Source organism: Homo sapiens, chromosome 15, assembly GCF_000001405.40.
Source record: "Homo sapiens chromosome 15, GRCh38.p14 Primary Assembly".
Lineage (NCBI taxonomy): Eukaryota > Metazoa > Chordata > Mammalia > Primates > Hominidae > Homo > Homo sapiens.
In genome coordinates, this window is record NC_000015.10 from 40528215 (window position 1) to 40547990 (window position 19776).

At 48.0% G+C, this 19776-nt stretch overlaps 1 protein-coding gene and 2 pseudogenes across 7 annotated transcripts in view, besides 2 other annotated features; 1 reads left to right on the forward strand and 2 right to left on the reverse strand.

Annotated features, from left to right (window-relative positions):
• CCDC32 (coiled-coil domain containing 32) overlaps positions 1–19776 on the reverse strand; it is a 44050-nt gene that overhangs the window by 7222 nt on the left and 17052 nt on the right. For 3 of the 6 annotated variants that reach the window (NM_001382440.1, NM_001382441.1, NM_001289132.2), the window contains exon 4: positions 2851–4088. The exons of 1 other annotated variant lie outside the window; for it this stretch is intronic. In NM_001382440.1, the coding sequence (NP_001369369.1) occupies positions 4085–4088 (4 nt within the window). In that variant the 3' untranslated portion in view covers positions 2851–4084. Of the gene's footprint in view, positions 1–2850; positions 4089–6125; positions 7385–11024; positions 11142–19776 lie in introns of those variants that run through there. 2 more of the 6 variants (NM_001382438.1, NM_001382437.1) reach the window with 2 other exon arrangements.
• RNU6-516P (RNA, U6 small nuclear 516, pseudogene) lies at positions 1356–1428 on the forward strand (annotated as a pseudogene).
• MRPL42P5 (mitochondrial ribosomal protein L42 pseudogene 5) lies at positions 3670–4336 on the reverse strand (annotated as a pseudogene). Its single transcript, NR_002208.1, has one exon. The product of NR_002208.1 is annotated as a mitochondrial ribosomal protein L42 pseudogene 5 (transcript).
• Positions 15473–15572: a silencer, noted in NCBI's record as "silent region_6338". NCBI's record gives its function as "represses an Ori minimal core promoter by ATAC-STARR-seq in GM12878 lymphoblastoid cells {active_cell/tissue: GM12878}" and the evidence as "EXISTENCE:reporter gene assay evidence [ECO:0000049][PMID:35858748]".
• Positions 15723–15822: an enhancer, noted in NCBI's record as "active region_9247". NCBI's record gives its function as "activates an Ori minimal core promoter by ATAC-STARR-seq in GM12878 lymphoblastoid cells {active_cell/tissue: GM12878}" and the evidence as "EXISTENCE:reporter gene assay evidence [ECO:0000049][PMID:35858748]".

Here is a 19776-nt window from a genome sequence, read left to right on the forward strand (position 1 = left end):
ACACACTTGGTCTTCTTTCTCCCTCACCACCACCCTCTAAGGTAAATGTCATTATCTCATTTTTTCAGATGAGGAAACAGGCCCAGAGAGACTAACTTCTCTAAATCAAAAAGTTAAGAAGTAACAGCCCAGGGGGTGGGGGAGTCTGAGAGTGAAGGGAAGAGTAGCAGAGGCAAGGCCATCATTAACCCTGGAGCTTGCGTGGAGCCAGGACTGGGTCTCAAGGCAAGGCCAGACCAAGGGAGGAGTGGAGGAGGGAATGACATGAAATTCTTTGCCATGGGATGCAGACTGTGGAATCTGTTTTGCCTGTGCTCAAGGCTTGTCCTGGTTGGGCATGAGGTAGAGGCTGCAAAGAGTCCAGGGCCCTCAAATCCAGGGAGGGGAAGACACCAGGTCTGGTAATGCAGAAGGCCTGAGGAGAGATTGGGCAGGGATGTTACCCTGGTGATGACGGAGGTGGGTTGGAGTTGATTATATGGGTGCAGGCCTTGTCCACAAGCGAATGGGAAACTTCTTCCGTCCTCCTAGCTGGCCTGCCCAAAGCCCTTAGCACAGATCCCATTTCTCAAAAAACTATTAAAAAAAAGAGAAGAAAAGAAAAGTAAAAGAAAACCCCTCAACAGTCCTCTTTGCATAATGGTGGCTCTGAGCCTGGGATTTCCAAGGACAGACTCGTGTCTAACCACCTCTGGCTCCAGCACGTGCTGAGTGGTATTCAGCGCTCAGCATTCTGAAGAAATATTTTCAGCAGTCTTTCGGTGGGGACCCAGTAGGCAGCTAAGTGCCTTTGTCTGGAGATTCTCTTCCCTGGTGAAGGTCAGCTCAGCTGGACAGGCTTCCAGGGTCACAGAAACCTCTGTGGACCCACACGTACACTAGAAGCTGCCGCTCTGCAGGGGTGGCTTCATCTCAGCCCCTTTTCCCACACAACCTTGGTGCACAATATGCTACTCTCTGCCAGGGGTCTTAAGGGGAAGCTTAACACATGGCAGCATCACTGGAGTGGTGGTTTGCCGGTGTTTTCAGATGACAGAGGTCCGAAGAATACAGAAAAGGGCCTTGCATCCTGAACCTGGTGAAATTGTGGCCCAGGATCACAGGAAAAGAGCACACCTTTCCTCAGTCTTTTTATTTGTGAAAATAGTACAAATAATAGAAACTCTATTCTTTGGTTGGTTATGTGTTTATTCTTAGGAAATGCGTTTATATGCAGAGAGAAAAAGCAGAGGGAGAGAGAGCAAGCACATGCACATAATGTGGTAACGTCAGTGAATCTGGGGAAAAGGTATTTGGAAATTCCTTGTACATTCAACTTTTCTGTAAGTTTGAAATTGTATCAAAATAAAAAGTGAGTACTCTCTTCCCGCAGTGCATATACTAAAATTGGAACATACAGAGATTAGCATGGCCCCTGCGCAAGGATGATCAGATGGTTTGGATGGTTTTTTTTTTTTTTTTTTTTGAGACGGAGTCTCGCTCTATCGCCCAGGCTGGAGTGCAGTGGCGCGATCTCGGCTCACTGCAAACTCCGCCTCCCGGGTTCACACCATTCTTCTGCCTCAGCCTCCTGAGTAGCTGGGACTACAGGCACCCGCCACTGCGCCTGGCTAATTTTTTGTGTTTTTAGTAGAGACGGGGTTTCAGTGTGTTAGCCAGGATGGTCTCGATCTCCTGACCTTGTGATCTGCCTGCCTCGGCCTCCCAAAGTGCTGGGATTACAGGTGTGAGCCACTGCGCCCAGCCGGTTGGGATGCTTTGTCCCTTCCAAATCTCGTGTTAAAATGTGACCTCAGGCCGGGCGTGATGGCTCACACCTGCAATCCCAGCGTTTTGGGAGACCAAGGTGGGTGGATCACCTGAGGTCAGGAGTTCGAGACCAGCCTGGCCAACATGGTGAAACCCCATCTCTACTAAAAATACAAAAAGTGAGCCAGGCGTGGTGGCACATGCCTGTAATCCCAGCTACTTGGGAGGCTGAGGCAGGAGAACTACTTGAACCTGGGAGGTAGAGGTCGCAGTGAGCCAAGATTGTGCCATTGCACTCCAGCCTGGGCAACGAGCGAAACTACATCTCAAAAAAAAAAAAAAAAAAAGTGACCTCCAATGTTGGAGGTGGGCCTAATGGGAGATGTTTGGGTCATGGGAGCAGATGCCTCATGAATGGCTTGGTACTGTCCTTATGGTAGTGAGTGAGCTCTCACTCTGAGTTCACGTGAGATCTGGTTGTTTAAAAGAGCCTGGCACCTCCTCTCTCTTTTTCTCTCTCTCTCCCTCTCTCTCTCTCTCTGGTTGTTTAAAAGAGCCTGGCACCTCCTCTCTCTCTCTCTTGCTTGGTCCCTCTCTTGCCATGTGACACACTAGGTCCGCTTTGCCTTCCACCATGATTGTAAGCTTCCTGAGGCCTCACCAGCAGCAGATGCTGGTGCCATGCTTCTCATACAGCCTGTAGAACCGTAAGCCAAATAAACCACTTTTCTTTATAAATTACCCAGTCTCAGGTATTCCTTTTTTTTTTTTTTGAGACAGGATCTCACTCTGTCACCCAGGCTGGAGTGCAGTGGCACAATCTTGGAACTGACTCCCGGGCTCAAGTGATACTCCCACCTTAGTTAGCTTCCTGGGTAGCTGGGATTATAGGCGTGCGCCACCACCCGGCTAATTTTTGTATTTTTTGTAGAAACAGGGTTTTGCCATGTTGCCCAGGCTGGTCTTGAACTCCTGAGCTCAAGCAATCCACCCATCTCAGCCTTCAAAAGTGCTGGGTTTACAGGCATGGGCCACCGCACCTGGCCAGATATTCCTTTAGAGCAATGCAAAGTGGACTGATACAGATGACATGCAAATTTGTGAAGTGTTCCATATTTTTTACTGCATGTTCTCATTTATAAGTGGGAGCTAAATGTGTACACATGAACACAGAGTGTGGAATAGTAGACACTGGAGACTTGGGAGGGTAGGAGGGTGGGAGGTGGGTGAAGGATAGGAAATCAGGGGGTACAATGTGCATTATTTAGATGATGGTTACACTAAAAGCCCAGACTTCAACACTGTGTAATATATCTATGTAACAAAACTTCACCTATACCCCTTAAATTTATATTTCTTTTTTTTTATTTTTTTTTTGAGACAGAGTCTCACTCTGTCACCCAGGCTGGAGTGCAGTGGCGGGACCTCGGCTCACTGCAACCTCCGCCTCCCAGGTTCAAGCGATTCTCCTGCCTCAGCTTCCCGAGTAGCTGATATTACAGGTGTGAGCCACCGTGCCTGGCCAAATTTATATTTTTAAAAAGTAACAAAAAGAATTACAAAAACCAGAGGAGCATTTTTAGGTAAATTAATCTTCATTCCCACAAGACTAGCGCAAGATTGGGTTTAAATTTTGCATAGATTTTGATTTTTGTTGTTGTTGTTGTTTGAGACAGGGTCTTGCTCTGTCACCAAGGCTGGAATGCAGAGGCATGATCACCACTCTCTGCAGCCTCAACCTCCTGAGCTCAAGCAATCCTCCTACCTCAGCCTTCCAAGTAGCTGGCACCACAGACACACATCACCACACTTGGCTAATTTTTTTTAGAGATGGGGTCTATGTTGCTCAGGCTGCTCTCAAACTCCTGACTCAAGCGATCCACCCACCTCGGCTTCCTAAAGATTTTGTGTTTTTTTTTTAAATATGAAAAGACATGTTATTATTATTATTAGTGCATACACCAGATTGCACTGTCTCCAATGGCAAATGAGGCAGAGGGTAATATTTCTCTTTAATTCCCCAAGAACCTCAATATCATCTGTCTTCTGGAGGTTCCGGTTTCTTCTGACATCTGTGCTAATGTCCACGAAGATGCCAACCGTACTTAGCATAAAGAACATTTTGCTAAGTTGTTCTATTATGGGTTCTCGCTCAAGGTGTTCACTTTTTTCTTCTCTAGTTTTCAGCACTTGACCATGTGTTTCTTCATTATTATACACAGGATCTGGTCAAGGGATAGGTTTTGTGCGTTCATATGGAATGTCTATAGAAGGATGGTAACATACTATTGTCCTGGCATCAGGTGTCAAAGCAAATTCTACTTTGCAATTGTAGTCACCTGGAAAAGAAGAGTACGTAGATTTATGACAAACATAAGGCTCCATTTTGGATTGAAGATAAATGTTTCCAGATAGTTCTCTTTGATATCACCCGTCTTACTGCTGCTACTGCCATGTAGCAAGACACTTATCAGGTAGTATGAAAAAAGATGCTTCAAAGAGAATCTGCTTCTGGGCACATTAATTTTCATCCCTGCTTCACAGCTGTTCACCATGAGCCCATCATCTTGTCTCCTTATTTTTGCATAGATCTTAAATTATTTTTACCCAGTTGTAATCATGGACAAATTTGTAGTCTGCTTTTTTTCACTTAACATTAGTTATAAACTGTTCCATACTGCTGCATATTCTTTGTAATTATAATTTTAATGATTTATAATTTAATTGTTTTACTTGAATTTGTTTTCTTTCTTTTTTTTTTTTTTTTTTTTTTTTTGAGAGAGAATCTCACTCTGTCACCCAGGCTGGAATGCAGTGGCATGATCACAGATCACTGCAGCCTCGACTTCCCGGGTTCAGTTGATCCTCCCACTTCAGGCTGGCGCGTGCCACCAGACCTGGCTAATTTTTTTTATTTTTTGTAGAGGTAGGGGGTTTCACCATGTTGCCCAGGCTGGTCTCAAACTCCTGTGCTCAAGCAATCCTCCTGCCTCAGCTTCTCAAAGTGTTGGGATTACAGGCATGAGCCATTGCACCTGGCCAATTTACAATATTATATATCATAATTTCTATTCTCCTGTTGGTGGACATGTAAGAGGAAGAGGATAATGGTTCATCATGAGCTCTGTACCAGGTGCTGCCCACCACAGGCTACATACAGGCATTATCTTGTTTGACCCTCATGATCCTGCTATGCCCCAGGCTCTGTTCTAGTCTTGGGAACACATCAGCAAATTAAATAGACAAAATGGAACTTACATTCTAGTTGGTGTCAGGGTCGGGGGCAGATGTGCAATTAAAAGTATACATAATGCTGAAGAATTAAATGTTGAAGGAGTTTAAATTTTGAAAGTGTTTGCTATACATAATTGTCCTGCATTATTATTATTTTATTTATTTATTTTGAGATGGAGTTTCCCTCTGTTGCCCAGGCTGGAGTGCAGTGGCGTGATCTCAGCTCACTGCAACCTCTGCCTCCTGGGTTCAAGCGATTCTCCTGCCTCAGAAGGAGTAGCTGGGACTACAAGTGCGCACCACCACGCCCGGCTAATTTTTGTATTTTAGTAGAGACGGAGTTTCACCATATTGGCCAAGCTGGTCTCGAACTGCTGACCTTGTAATCCACCCACCTCAGCTCCCAAAGTGCTGGGATTACAGGCATGAGCCACCATGCCTGGCCATTGTCCTGCATTGTTATAAAGAGTTTTCAGCACGTTTTTTAAAAAAGGATACACATAATAAATAAGAAAAGTATGTATTATAAGATGCCAAATAATGTGTAAAAATAGCAGAGTAAGGAGAGTAATGGGTTTAGGAGGAGGGAGTGTTTTCATTTGAAATAGAGTAATTGGGGTAGACCACACCGAGAACATTTGAGCAAAGACTTGGAGGAGATGAGAGCAATCCCTGAATAACACATGAAGAAATCAAATTACTTTTACAATATGTTCTCGCTATGCCGTTAGAAAGCAGGCATTAGAAGGGCTAAGATCCCAAGAGGGGCTGGTGAAACTTGTATATATCTACATCATTGGCTAAAATATAAATCAGCCCAGTTCTTTTGTGAAGCATTATGTCAATTCACACAGCCATTTAAAATATTAATGACTTTTGACCTGGTAATCCCACTCCTGGGAATTTGTCCTAAGGAAATTTTTGCAAAGAAGAGAAAAAGCTCTATGTGGAAAGATCACTGCAGCAGTATCCATTTGTCTTAGTCAGGTCTAACCTTAGTCAGGTTTATTTCTCACAGTTCCGAGGTTGGAGTCTGAGAATTGGGGGCCAGCAGGGTCCAGTTCTGGGAGAAAGCCCTCTTCTGGGTCTCCAGCTGTATTAATCCATTCTCACACTGCTATAAGAACATACTGGAGACTGGGTAATTTGTACAGGAAAGAGGTTTAATTGGCTCACAGTTTGGCATGGCTGGGGACGCCTCAAGAAACTTACATTCATGGCAGAAGGGGAAGCAAATATGTTCTTCTTCACAGGGCAGCAGGAAGGAGAATGAGAGCCGACTGAAGGGGGAAGCCCCTTCTAAAACCATCAGATCTCGTGAGAACTTACTATCACAAGAATAGCATGAGGGAAACTGCCCCCTTGATTCAGTTACCTCCCGCTGGGTCCTTCCCACCACACGTGGGGATTGTGGGAACTACAATTCAAGATGAGACTTGGATTGGGACACAGCCAAACCATATCACCAACTGTCTACTTCTCATTGTATCCTCACATGGCAGAAGAGAACTAGCTAGGTCTCTGGCCCCTTTTTGTAAGGGCACTAATCCCATTGATAAAGGGTCCACTCTCATGACCTAATTACCTCCCCAAAGTTCCATCTCCATATACCATCACATCAGGATTAGTGTTTCAACATGTATATTTTAGAGGGACACAAACACACAGTCCATTGCACCATCAAAGTGAGGAAGTGATGGGCTCAGAATGGTCTTGGAGTCAGATGTCAGGGTCTGAAGGCTTGGCTGTATGATCTGCCACTTGGTATCTGTGTGGTCTTGGGTTTAGTGACTTGATCTTCCCGAGCCCATGCCTGCCGTGATGGAAGGAAATCAGTTTGGGAAAGTCCTGGGGGACCAGACTGTGGAGGGTCTTGACTGCTAAGCCAGCGACTCCAGGCTCTGTGCAGTCAGCAGGAGAATCATTACAGGTATTTGATCAGAGCTGTGCATCAGGAAGATTAACGTGACGGTGGCATATAAGATGAATGGAATGGGGGAGAATGCAGAGGTGGGGAGGCCACTTAGGAGACTTCTGCAGTAGTCTACATGAGAGGCAATGACTAATTAAATGAAACAGCCCAAACTGTATGAGCACCTTGTAGGTGATGAGCCATTATCATAGATCTCCAGCCTCTCCATAGCATCTGTTTTAAAGTCTGCACTGAACAGAAATATTACAGAATAATGCTTTATATTTCTAACCCTTTGCAGTTCAAAAAGTGCTTTCATGAGCATTCTCTCATTTGATCTAGGGTGTTTACAAATTTATATTTTGAAGGAGTTTTTCCACATATTGAAATTGGGCCTATAGATTTATAGTTTTCAGGGCCCGCCCCTTCTCTCCTCCTCCACTCAGCTTCCTTTCGTTCAGTCTTCAGGCACTTCATGGTTCTTTATTCCTTTTCACAACCAAAAAAAAAAAAGAAAAAAAATAGTGCATGCTGAACAACACACCAGGCTCCTTGCTAAGTCTCTCCAAAAGCAGGGAAGTCATCAGTGTGCGGGATTTGAGCACATGTGGTTTATTTAATCATTCGTTCATCTTTCTCTGATTGCAGTGGAGTTTCACACGTTCCACCATATGCTGTCCCTGAAATGCTCTGCACACACTAGTGAGAGCCCATGAGGGGGCCTAGCCTTTGCCTTCCCTCCTTGTCTGCCAGGATTGAAGGAGGAAATCAGGTTGGGAAAGTCCTGTGGGACCAAATTGTGGAGGAGCTTGACTGCTAAGCCAAGGACTCCAGACTCTATGCTGTCAGCAAGAGAAACATAGGTATTTGATCAGAGCTGCCCATGAGGAAGGTTAATCCAGCAGCGACTCCCTTAATCCAGCAGTGACTCCCTCCAGCTTCAGCCCTTCCCCAGTCTCAGGGTTGGAGGGAGTGTCTTTTGCTGGAGTCCCCCAAAGGGGTCCCAAGTCACCAGGAGACACAGGACTAGCGATCACCCAGGAGGCCTGCAGCCTGGGTCTCCACTGTGATTGAGGCTTCCTAACTCTGGCTTCTTGGGCTTCCAGAAGCACTAATGAGCAGGGCTGAGCAGTAATTAAGACTGTGCTCTGTTCCACATCATCACGCAGCACAGCTGCAACTGCTGGGAGGAAGGGGAAGGAGAGAAGACCGGGAAGATGCCTTTAGCCCTGTCTTCCCACTCTGAACCTACTTGCTCTCAGGCTCTCCAGTGCAGCAAGGAGGGGTTGGTAAAGCCATGGGATGAGGGAACAGCTACAGGAGATGGCTGCCCAGGGCTGGGGAAATAGCGTTCAGACACCAGCCAGCTGTTGCTGCTCCATTCTGCATCCCAGGTGGGGTGCCAATGGGCCAAGCCATGATTTTCTCAGAGGTGAGGACCCCTGTCTTGCAACCAGCCTGGCACTACAGGCCCTGCAGCAGGAGGGGGCTGTGATCTGGCCAGGGGGAGCTGGGTGGAGGACGAGTATGACACATGAAATTATGAGTCTCGGACCTTCTCTGGCTCACATCCCAGAACAGGGGCCTCTCTTGGCAAGGGCCCACTGCAAGAACAAGTACTCAATGAGCAACACAGAGCCAAGCTCTGGAGGTTCACAGGTCACACTACAAGCCAGTTCATTCCACGGAACACACTCTCCAGTGGAGAAGTGGAGGTCAAAACAGAGTCATGACTGCTACGATGGTGATGAGAAAAAGTTCCATGGGGCCACAGAGTCACCTAGGGTCGACTGAGGACAGCTTCACTTATATGGTGGCACTTGAACTGAACCTTGAAGTAGAAGAGGGATTCACCAGAAAATATGGTTTTGGCAAAGGGAATAGAGAACAAAGGCAGGTGGCATGAGATAGTCAGCTGCCAGGAGACGTGGTGGGCCTGGCCCAGAGCATGAGTGGAGCGAGAAGGGAAGGATTCTGGAGAAAGGAACCAAGAGAATCTAGAATTCTAAAGGACCACCAGGGGCTCCAGGCCTGGCAGGAGCAACTAACAGGATGACCCACCTTCCCCAACTTACACCACCTCAGGCGCTGGGCAGATGCTCTGTGACTTTATCAGTATCCCTGGGGAGTGGTGCCAGCCCCAGGTGCTGAGCTGGAGGGGGGATCACAGAGGAATCAAGGGACTCAAGGAGGGAAGGCAGCTGGAGGGAAGGGGCTTGGGCAGAACGAAAGAGGAAGGGGCTTGGCCCTGGGCTCTCATCCACTCCTGAAGCCCATGCAGGGAACAGTGAATGATGCAGTGCCTGTGTCCCAAGGTCCCAGCCTCGTGTGGGACCATCGGGGCACTAGCAGCCTTCCTGTCTCCTACCCCTTGCTCTGGGGGCCACGGGTACATGAAGGTTTCCAGAACCCAGGGAAGAGGCCAGAGGTTCAGTAATAGCTCTACAGGAGCATAACTAGAGAGTGATGACCAACTCCCAAAATACAGAATGTTTATTTTGAGCTCCACAATACATGTCAGTCAGAGAAAGGTTCGAGTCTCAAAAATGCTGGCTCTTGGCCAGACGCGTTGGCTCATGCCTGTAATCCCAGCACTTTGGGAGGCTGAGGTGGGCGGATCACTTGAGGTCAGGAGTTCAAGACCAACCTGGCCAACATGGTGAAACCCCGTCTCTACTAAAAATAGAAAAATTAGCCAGGCATGGCAGTGGGCACCTGTAATCTCAGCTACTGGGGAGGCTGAGGCAGGAGAATTGCTTGAACCTGGGAGGTGGAGGTTGCAGTGAGCCGAGATGGTGCCACTGCATTCCAGCCTGGGTGATAGAGTAAGACTCCGCCTCAGAAAAAAAAGCTGGAGCTTCAGTAATGCTGACCACTTTTAAATATATGTAATCAGCACTCATTTCAAATAGTCTTTTAGCAGCATGCTAACTTATGACTACAAGGTCTGCGGTCCCCTCTCCTGCCAAGTGTCCCCTTCCCCTGTACAAGTGGCCCAGAGGCAGTTCTCCAAGGGGATTTGGGGACTGTACTCCTGTATAAAAGAAAGCCTGTGGTGCTGCTGTGTTAAGTTACCCACCTATTGGCTGGTGAGTGCCCCCTTCATGTCTTTCCTGAAGGTAGATTTTCAGTAAATAAGAAGACCACATTTTTTATTCTGAGGCTATGGTCTTGTTTTCCATAGCAGTGTGTCCCAGAAAGCTCGAGATCTCTTGCATGGCCATGATTTGAAAGTCTGGAAATGGGATCCACTGGTAAGCTATGTTCTCCATGGAGCTCACCTGAGGCTGCCCTGCACCCCTCGCCTCTCCCTCAAGGGGTCACAGGGCACCTGTGGGCACCTCTTTCTGCTGCCTGTATGTCCGCCCCAATAGGAGAAAGAGGGGGCATAGAGGGAAATGAGTCTCCTTCACTGGTTCGAATTAGCGGGAAGCCTGTGAGTCCAAGCCCCCCTCAAATTCAGGCAACGACCAATCCGGCTTCCCTTTCTGTGCCCTTGTCAGAGAAGAGGCCGCTGGGCCCAGGCCTGTCCCTTTCCTCCAACCTGGCAGGCATGGGAAGCAACTGTGGAGGAATTTTAGAGCTGGGAGAAGCAGAGGGAGGATTGGAAAGCCTTTTATTTTCTTTGAACTTTTCCATTTAAAATATTTCTATTTTTAAAAGAATAATTTGGTTCTTTTTAATTTAGCATGTTTTCCTTAGAGCAATAAAGGCTTTTGCAATATGGAAAAGGTGACATTTGATCTGAAGGAGTCTGGGGGAGCTCTGAGTATAGGGAACTGACCTTTAGTACCCACCCATGAGCGCTGCCAACTGGGGGCCTGAGGTCTAGTGCTTGCCACAGGTGGGCTCACCGCAGGAGCCTGCTGGTGACCAGCCTGTCCCTCTTCCCATGGGTTCTCTAGCTGGCTCTGACTAAAGCCCTGTCTCTCTCTTGGCTCTCTCGCCAGCTGTCCCACTTCTCAGCTTCTCCCTTTCTTCATTCAGCCCAGCCCAGAAGCCCTGAGGGCTGGGCCAGAGGGAAGTAGTTGTTGCTGTTTCTCCCCAGCTCCCGCTCAAACCTGACACCACAGAAAGGTCAATCCCACATGGTTCTGCACATCCCTGCCTGGCCCGCCCTGGCTGTTACCATGACGACTGCTGGGCTGGAAATGTCCTTCGCCACCTCTGCTCAGCACACTGGTGGCTGTCCCACGCTCCATCCTCAGAAAAGCTGCTGCTGCCAGGGGTTCTGGAGTTACAGGGCCTATGGGAATAAGACAGACCGACAGAGACGAGGAAGATAGACAGATACAGTCAGAGGCACACACTAACAGAGTCAAAGAGAGACAGGCATACATAGGAGCACCGAGAGTGCGAAGGTGCGAGGAAGTGAGGTGTCGACACAGCCTCAGCCGTGCAGGACTGCAGGAAAAATAAAGCAAAGTGGAGCCTGAGACAGAGACAAGAGACAAACGGAGGCACAGGGGACACGGGGGCCCGTGGCACCACAGCAAGAGGCCAGGCAGAGGAAGAGAGGAAAAGCAGAGACCAAGGCAGTCAGCTCTCCGCTGCCCCTGCTCCCATCCCAGGAAATTTCCTTGCCCAATAGGTCTCTCTTGGCCTCCTGCTCTCTGAGATGTCAGGCAGGGTCTGTCTGAGTTGATTTGTTGGCCAGGCTGTTCCTCTGGCTGGACAACATTTGCCACCTTAAGAGGGGCCCTCCCCTAATAAGAGTGATCAAACTGTTGCCACACACACACACACACACACACACACACACACACACACACCCCGCTCCTTGCCCTTGATTCCATGTCACCCCAAACTCATCATAAATACCTACTCAGCCTCACTTCGCCCAGGTGGTGAAATGGGCATTGGAACAGTGTGAAGGGTTGATTTTCAAATTGCGGCAAAATCTAGGGAATAAGTGTGAACCTCAGAGATGATGATGCCCCTGGAGGTAATGAATGGGCAAGAGGAGGGAAAAGACAGACTGAACAGTGAGTACCAGACAAGAGTGTGGGGCCCAGAGGGTGGGAGAAGGGATCAGGGAAGAGAGAGACAGGCTCAGAGCTCTGACTAGGGCAATCCAGAGGAGTGGTAACAGGAGGGCTGGGCCAACTGGATTGGCCTTTAGTGCCTGGCAGGGAACACTGCCTCTAACATCAGTGCCATGATTTCCCATCTTTGAAGTGTCTCCAAGGCTTTGAGGGAGGCTTCTCAGGGTCTTTGAATTCTTTGTCGTTCTTCTTAGCATTTTTTTCTTTTTCTTTTTCTTTTTTTTTTTTTTTGAGGTGGCGTCTCGCTCTGTTGTGCAGGCTGGAGAGCAATGGCGTGATATCGGCTCACTGCAACCTCCGCCTCCTGGGTTCAAGCTATTCTCCTTCTTCAGCCTCCCGAGTAGCTGGGATTACAGGCGCCTGCCACCATGCCTGGGTAATTTTTTGTATTTTTAGTAGAAACAGGGTTTCACCATGCTGGCCAGGCTGGTCTCCAACTCCTGGCCTCAGGTGATCTGCCTGCCTTGGCCTCCCAAAGTGCTGGGATTACAGGTGTGAGCCACTGCACCCAGCCCAGCATTTTCTTCTTAGAAAATGATTAGGCTGTCAATACAGGAAACTCTGGGGCCGGGCCAGTCTCTCATCTATCCTAACCTTGACCACAGTGTGAAAGGACAGTAGAGTCAGTGCCCCTAATGTCACCATGTTCCAAGCTCACATATGAGTGTTGAACAGGTGCCAGCCTGGAGCGTCCATTGCCCTGGTGCCCTCAGTCCAGAGAGCCCAGTGAGAAGCTGGGCCAAGAAGGAAGACTTGAACCCAAGAGAGCAGTGTGTGGACATTCAGACTAGGCTGGGCTGAACTCACCCCCGGGGAGAACCACTTCCCACACTGGGCCACAGAGACCAAAATGTCAAAACCAAAGGTCCCGCACAGCCCTGGAAGGCGGATCCTGGCCTGGGCGGGAAAGAGACTGTGCCAGATGCTCACGCGCTGCCTCACATCCCTCCAGCCCATTTCTGTGACCAGCCGCAGCTGCAGCGGATGCTTCTGGTACATGCTCAGTTTCCCTCCTCTCTCCTCTGCGTGAGGCTTTTCTTAGCCCCTGCAGGGCTGCCTGAAAGTGGCAGGGGCTTAATACCTCCAAAGAGCAAACCTCAACCAATGAAGGATGGGCACTGGTGGAACTGCAGCCCAGATGTGCCCCGTCAGTCAGTGGCAAAATTCTGAGCTGTAATATTTTTTTTTTTTTTTTTGAGACGGAGTCTCGCTCTGTCACCCAGGCTGGAGTGCAGTGGCTCCATCTCGGCTCACTGCAACCTCCGCCTCCCGGGTTCAAGCAATTCTCCTGTCTCATCCTCCCAAGTAGCTGGGACTATGGGCACACACCACCAACCCGGCTAATTTTTGTATTTTTAGTAGAGACATGGTTTTGCCATGTTGGCCAGGCTGGTCTCGAACTCCTGACCTCAGGTGATCCACCCGCCTCAGCCTCCCACAGTGTTGGGATTACAGGCCACCGCGCTTAGCCTAAGCCATAATCTTTATGTCTCCTCAGAGTGATCCCAGGGCGACAGCCCTAACTACCCACAGTGGACCTACTCAACACAGGGAGCTGTCTCATTCTCCTCCCTCCCTCACTCCTGCTCACCCCCTAAAATCAGCCACCTACATACAGGTCCTTGTCTCAAGGTACACGTTCAGAGAACATAAAACAGCACAAGAGCGACCTTTTTGTGATCTTCCAACCCAAGAGTCTGTCCCTCAGGGTTGAGCTAAGATAAGAACTGTTGGAGGGCTCTGCCTCTGACCACTGACTGGTAGGTGATCAGGTGTTTGTCATTATTATCTAGGGAGGAGAAAGAAGAACTCACCAGCTCTCCCTCCCAAATGCTGGGGAGACCAGGGCTGACTTAACAGCAGCAAGCCCCCATAGGTCTCCAGTAGCCAACCACAGATTTTCATAATTGGAAAGGACCTTAGGGGTGACCTGATCCAACTTTCTACACAATGCAGGAATCCCCTTTACAACCTTTCTGACATCTGCTGACACACCTCCAGTGACAGGGAATTACTATCTTCTACAAGGCCACCCTATTGTTGAACAGCTATTAGAAAGTTCTTAACACTGAATGGTAATTGGTCTTCCTGAAACTCCCTGCCATTGGTCCTAGTTTGTCCTTTGTACTTCAGTGTGTCTCAGCTTTCTACCCAATACTCCTTCAAATATTTTAAAGCCAACCGGGTCTCTCTTAAATCTCTTTTCTATGGAAAACAATCTTATTGTCTTGTCCTGTCTTCAAATAACTCGATCTGAGCCTGCTCACCCTGGACCCCTCCTCTAGGGAGCATTGCAGTTTGTCGATGTTCCTCTGTAGGAAAAGACCCTGTTGCAAGAATGGCACCACCTTGAAGCAAAACTGCCATAATGACTGATGTTTGACTCCTGCATACCAAGGCATTCCTGTGGCAAGGTCAAGAAACAATGCCTGGGCCGGGCGCAGTGGCTCATGCCTGTAATCCCAGCACTTTGGGAGGCTGAGGCGGGAGGATCACGAGGTCAGGAGATTGAGACCATCCTGGCTAATACGGTGAAACCCCGTCTCTACTAAAAAATACAAAAAATTAGCCGGGCATGGTGGCAGGCACCTGTAGTCCCAGCTACTCAGGAGGTTGAGGCAGGAGAATGGTGTGAACCCGGGAGCAGAGGTTGCCACTGCACTCCAGCCTGGGGGACAGAGCGAGACTTTGTCTCAAAAGAAAAAAAAAAAAAAGATGCCTGGCCAGGTGGGGTGGCTCATGCCTATAATCCCAACACTTTGGAAGGCCAAGGTAGGAGGATTGTTTGAGCCCAGGAGTATGAGACCAGCCTGGGCAACATACTGAGACTTTTCTTAAAAAAAAAAAAAAATTAGCCAGGGGTATAGTCACAGCAAACTCAGGAGGCTGAGGAGGGAGGACAGCTTGAGCCCGGGAGGTTGAGGCTGCAATAAGCTGTGATAATGCCACTACACTCTAGCCTGGGTGACAGAGCCAGACTCTGTCTAAAAAAAAAAACAAAATGGAAAAGAAAGAGAAAAAAGAAAAGAAAGAATGCCTGTAGCATAAATAACCCCTCATAAAGATGCTTATCTAACCTCCCCAGTGGTCATGAAACTTGCAATAAAGTCTGAGGTGTGACCAGCTGCACATGTTTTCCCCTAAAAACTTGTTATACAAAGGATACTTTCTGGAGGGCGGGCATGGAAACCACCATCTCGTGACCAACCAAGGTATGGCTTCTGTGCATAAGTTTCTATTAAGCATTTATCTCTGAGAAACTAGATTCGTCAGCCTCTCTCTCTGTTTTGTTTTTGTTGTTGTTGTTGTTGTTTTTTTGAGACAGAGTCCCACTCTGTCGCCCAGGCTGGAATGCAGTGGCATGATCTTGGCTCACTGCAACCTCTGCCTCCCAGGTTCAAGAGATTCTTCTGCCTCAGCCTCCTAAGTAGCTGGGAGTACAGGCGCACGCCACCGTGCCCAGCTAATTTTTGTATTTTTAGTAGAAATGGAGTTTCCCCATATTGGCCAGGCTGGTCTCAAACTCCTAACCTCGTGATCCACCCACCTCAGCCTCCCAAAGTGCTGGGATTACAGGTATGAGCCACTGCACCCGGGCTTGTCAGCCTGTTTCTTTGGCCCCTCAGCTCTCTTGGCCTTTAGGGGTAGGTTTGCATAGACCTGCTCACTGCAGAACATCCTCTTGCAATGTGGTGCCCAGACGATGCTTTCAGAGAGGCATGACCACTGCAGAATATATTTTTACACTACTATGTCCCAGGTACACAGGTACATTTCCACTATTGATTCCTAGAATTATAACTTTTTTTTAGCAGCACATAACACTGCTGACTCCATTGAACTGTTAAGACACTGAACACCTGTTTGGGGTTTTCCATACCACTTTCCCCTTTCTTCAGCCAACAGCAATCCTCTTTCACTTCCCATTCTCATATGGTTCTGGTGGGACTGTTTACCACAGTATCCTGTACCCCTAACCATAGATCTTGCCCTTGTCATAGTCAGTGCTCCAATGATGAGCATGTGACCCAGGCCAAGCCAATCTGAGTCCCTCCCCTGGAATGTATTTATTTATTTGAGACAGGATCTTGCTCTGTCGCCCAGGATAGGGTGCGGTAGGGCAATCATAGCTCACTGCAGCCTCAACCTCCTGGGCTCAAGCAATCCTCCCACCTCAGCATCCCGAGTAGCTGGACTACAGGCATGCAGTACCACGCCAGGCTAATTTTTAAATTTTTTTTTTGTAGAGACGGGGTCTCTTTCTGTTGCCCAGGCTGGTCTCAAACTCCTGGGCTCAAGTGATCCTCCCACCTTGGCCTCCCAAAGTGCTGGGATTGTTAAGCCTAAACCACTGTGCGGAGCCCCCTGGCATCTATTATATGGGGTTGGAAAGTGTTATCTTTCCTCTGGACTTCCTAAACTGGAATCATGTCAGCCCAGAGCTCCCTGTGCTATACCAACACACAGAGAGAGTCAACAGTGGGAGGAAGAGAGGCTAAAGATACTGCTGGAGTCCTGAGGTCCAGCTAACTGAAGCCAGCTCTATATGTCTTAGACTAGAATTGAGTCCGGCTTGGATTTTTTTTTTTCAACAGCCTTGGAAAACTTTCCAGAGTCTGGCTTCTTGGCTTCTGTCACTAGAACAAACTAATAAATACTCTGTTCTTCTCTGTCCTCTAGTTGTGTAGTTAATTTCTGATCCCAAATGAAAGATTTCACATTTATCTGTATCATGTTTCATACTTTGTCCCATCACTCTAGTCTATAGAAAAATTTTAGAATTGTTATTCTTTTATTCAATTACCTACTCCTCTCACTTTTGATAAGGTTACCTTCTATTCACTCAACCAAATCATTGATAAAGATGTTGAGCTGAACAGAGGAAAAAGAAACCAACAACATGTCAGTTTATCAATCCAAGAGTTTACCTTTGGGATGATTGTTCTAACAACTGTGGGTCTCCTCTACCATACTCTTACCCAATGTACACTCCGCATCCTGTCTGCCTTGATCAGGCACCATGCTGAAGACCACACTGCACCTTGGCATTCTGCTAAGCCAATATTTGATGGTCTCATCCCCAAAGGATGTAAGATTAAAGAGCCAAAACTGGTCCTGGAAATATCTGTTCTTTAAAATGCTCATAAACTCTCAGTAACCTATCTGCTTTCTTCTGCACACATACACACACACACACACACAATCCCTCTCACCTTTGCCTCCTCCCTTTCTACTTATCTGCTAAAGAAGTAATTTTTAAAAGTGGATTACGTCAAAATGAAGGGAGGAGAGAGTCAGTTTGTTTGGGAAAAGAAAACCTTTAGAGCAATGTGTGACACAACACTTGGGACAGAGGAGGTGGAGAGAATGGGGGGAGATGAACATCTCTCTGCCACACATTGACTAATAGGAATAGTACATTGAGGGCTTAGGAAAGGCTGGGGCTGGAGGCTAGGGAATCGAGGAGCAAAGGCCCACTACTGTTCCACTTTGGCCTGTAGGAGGTGGTGTGGGGTACCAGCAGAGAGCACAGGCACTGGAGAGCTAGGCTTGGCTCTCCATCCTGGCACCACCACCTGCTAACCACCCACTACTACCTGCTGAGAGCCTGCAGCTCCCAAGACAGACACTCAGGTGCCACACTTCCCTCCACTCAGTGACCAAGCCTCAGTGGTTCTCCTTGCAAATGCTCCCATATCCACTTCTCTCTAGCCTTGCCGCCACACCTCATTCATGTAACTATCATCTCTTCAAAGATTTATTCTGCCTCATTCTCTCTCTCTTCACCTTCTGAGGCTGGAATCACATGTATATTAGACTGTTATTGTCCCACAGCTCTTATAGGTTTTGCTTTGTTTTGCTTTTCCCCCATCCCAGTTTCTCTTTGTGTTTTAGTTCAGAGAATTTTTATTGACCAGTTCAAGTTCACTGGTTCTTCACCTATGCCTACCTACTGAAAAGCCTGTGGAAGCAATTCATCTCTAATATCATGTTTATTTCTAGCATTTCCATTTGACTTTATTTTTTCTTTTTCTTTCCTTTTTTTTTTTTTTCTGAGATAGGGTCTCACCCTGTCACCCAGGCTGGAGGGCAGTGGCATGATCTTGGCTCACTGCAACCTCCGCCTTCTGGGTTCAAGTGATTCTCTTGCCTCAGCCTCCCAAGTAGCTGGGACCACAGGCACGAGCCACCATGCCTGGCTAATTTCTGTATTTTTTGGTGAGATGAGGTCTCATGTTGCCCAGGCTGGTCTCAAACTCCTGTGCTCATGTGCTCCTCCTGCCTTGGCCTCCCAAAGTGCTGGTATTACAGGCATGAGCCACCACGTCCAGCCCCATTTCACTTTCTCTTAGTTTCCATGTCTCTGCCAAAATTCCCTATCTGTTCATGCAAGTTGCCCACCCTTCCCCACCAGACCCCATAGTAATTATAATTATTTTAAGTCCCTCTGTGATAGTTCCAACATCTGTGTCATTTGTGAGTCTGGTTCTGTTGATTCATCTTCTGATAATGGATTGGGTTGTTTTCTTCTTGTCTTTTTGTGTGTTTTGCAATTTTTTTTTTTTTGAGACAGTCTTGCTCTGTTGCCCAGGCTGGAGTGTAGTGGGGCCATCTCAGCTCACTGCAACCTCACCCTCCCAGGTTCAAGTGATTCTCCTGCCTCAGCCTGTGGAGTAGCTGGGACTACAGGCACACACCACCAACACCTGGCTAATTTTTGTATTTTTAGTAGAGATGGGGTTTCGCCATGTTGACCAGGCTGGTCTGAAACTCCTGACCTCAGGTGATACACCTGTCTCGGCCTCCCAAAGTGCTAGGATTACAAGTGTGAGCCATAGCGCCTGACCTATGTTTTGCAGTTTTTTAACTGAATGCCCATGGTGTATAAAACAGCAGAGACTGAGGTAAATAGTATCTGTATCTGGGAGTGGGGCTGCCTCTTCTGTCAGCCTGTTGGTCTGGGGGGTTGAGTCAGTCTTGTTAGGAATTGGACAGGGTTTGGGTTTGGTTGTGCTCTCATTACCTTCAGTGCACCCCAGGTTTCAAATTCCTCTAGTGGTGGGCTGCTTAGAGTGGGGACTGGGGTGTCAGGGCTTCCTCAGTGCTGCTGTCCCACACTCAGCTTTTCAGCTGGCAGAAGACTTCTGTTGCTTGTGATCTGGTGCCAGGCTCAGGCAGGGCAGGGCAGGGTTGATTCTGTTACCCTGGCCCGGCTTCAGTCTTAAATAGGTCCTAGGCACCCGAGCTTCAGCAGTGGGACTTTCTCAGTGTTTCTGTCCCTCTTCCCTATGGAAGCCAAACTCTGCCTTATATGTGGTTCATCTGGGATTAGCCAAAGTTCTTGCCCTCCCCACAACAGAGTGGACCTTCGCTTGAATCTTCAGCCCAGGACAGTTTCCTGCTTCTGCCCCTGGGTAGGGGGTTTCTGCTTCTAGTCCCAGGAGCAATGGGTCTTTGCCTGTTCAAGAAGGGCAAGAAGGTTTTGACACCTCACCAGAAGCAGATAAGTTTTGCTTTTATTCCTCCCACTGAAGCAAAAGTTTGTTACCCCTCCCGCCATGGCTTAAGGCTTTTGCTTAAAGGAGAGGATTGTGGAAGTTGAGGCTTTTTGCCTTCCACCAGCAGCCGCCTTGATCAACCTCTGCATGCATGCATCACCAAGGAAGAACAGTCCCTCCCTTTCCTGACCTGTTCCCACTTTTCTCCATGAACCCCAGGGGAGGCCTGTACAAAAAAGGTTGCCTTTGCACGCACTCTCGTGTCTAGAATCCTATTCAGCTATTCTAAACTGATATGCTAGGCCACATGTGGACTTTACAAATTTGTTAACATTTT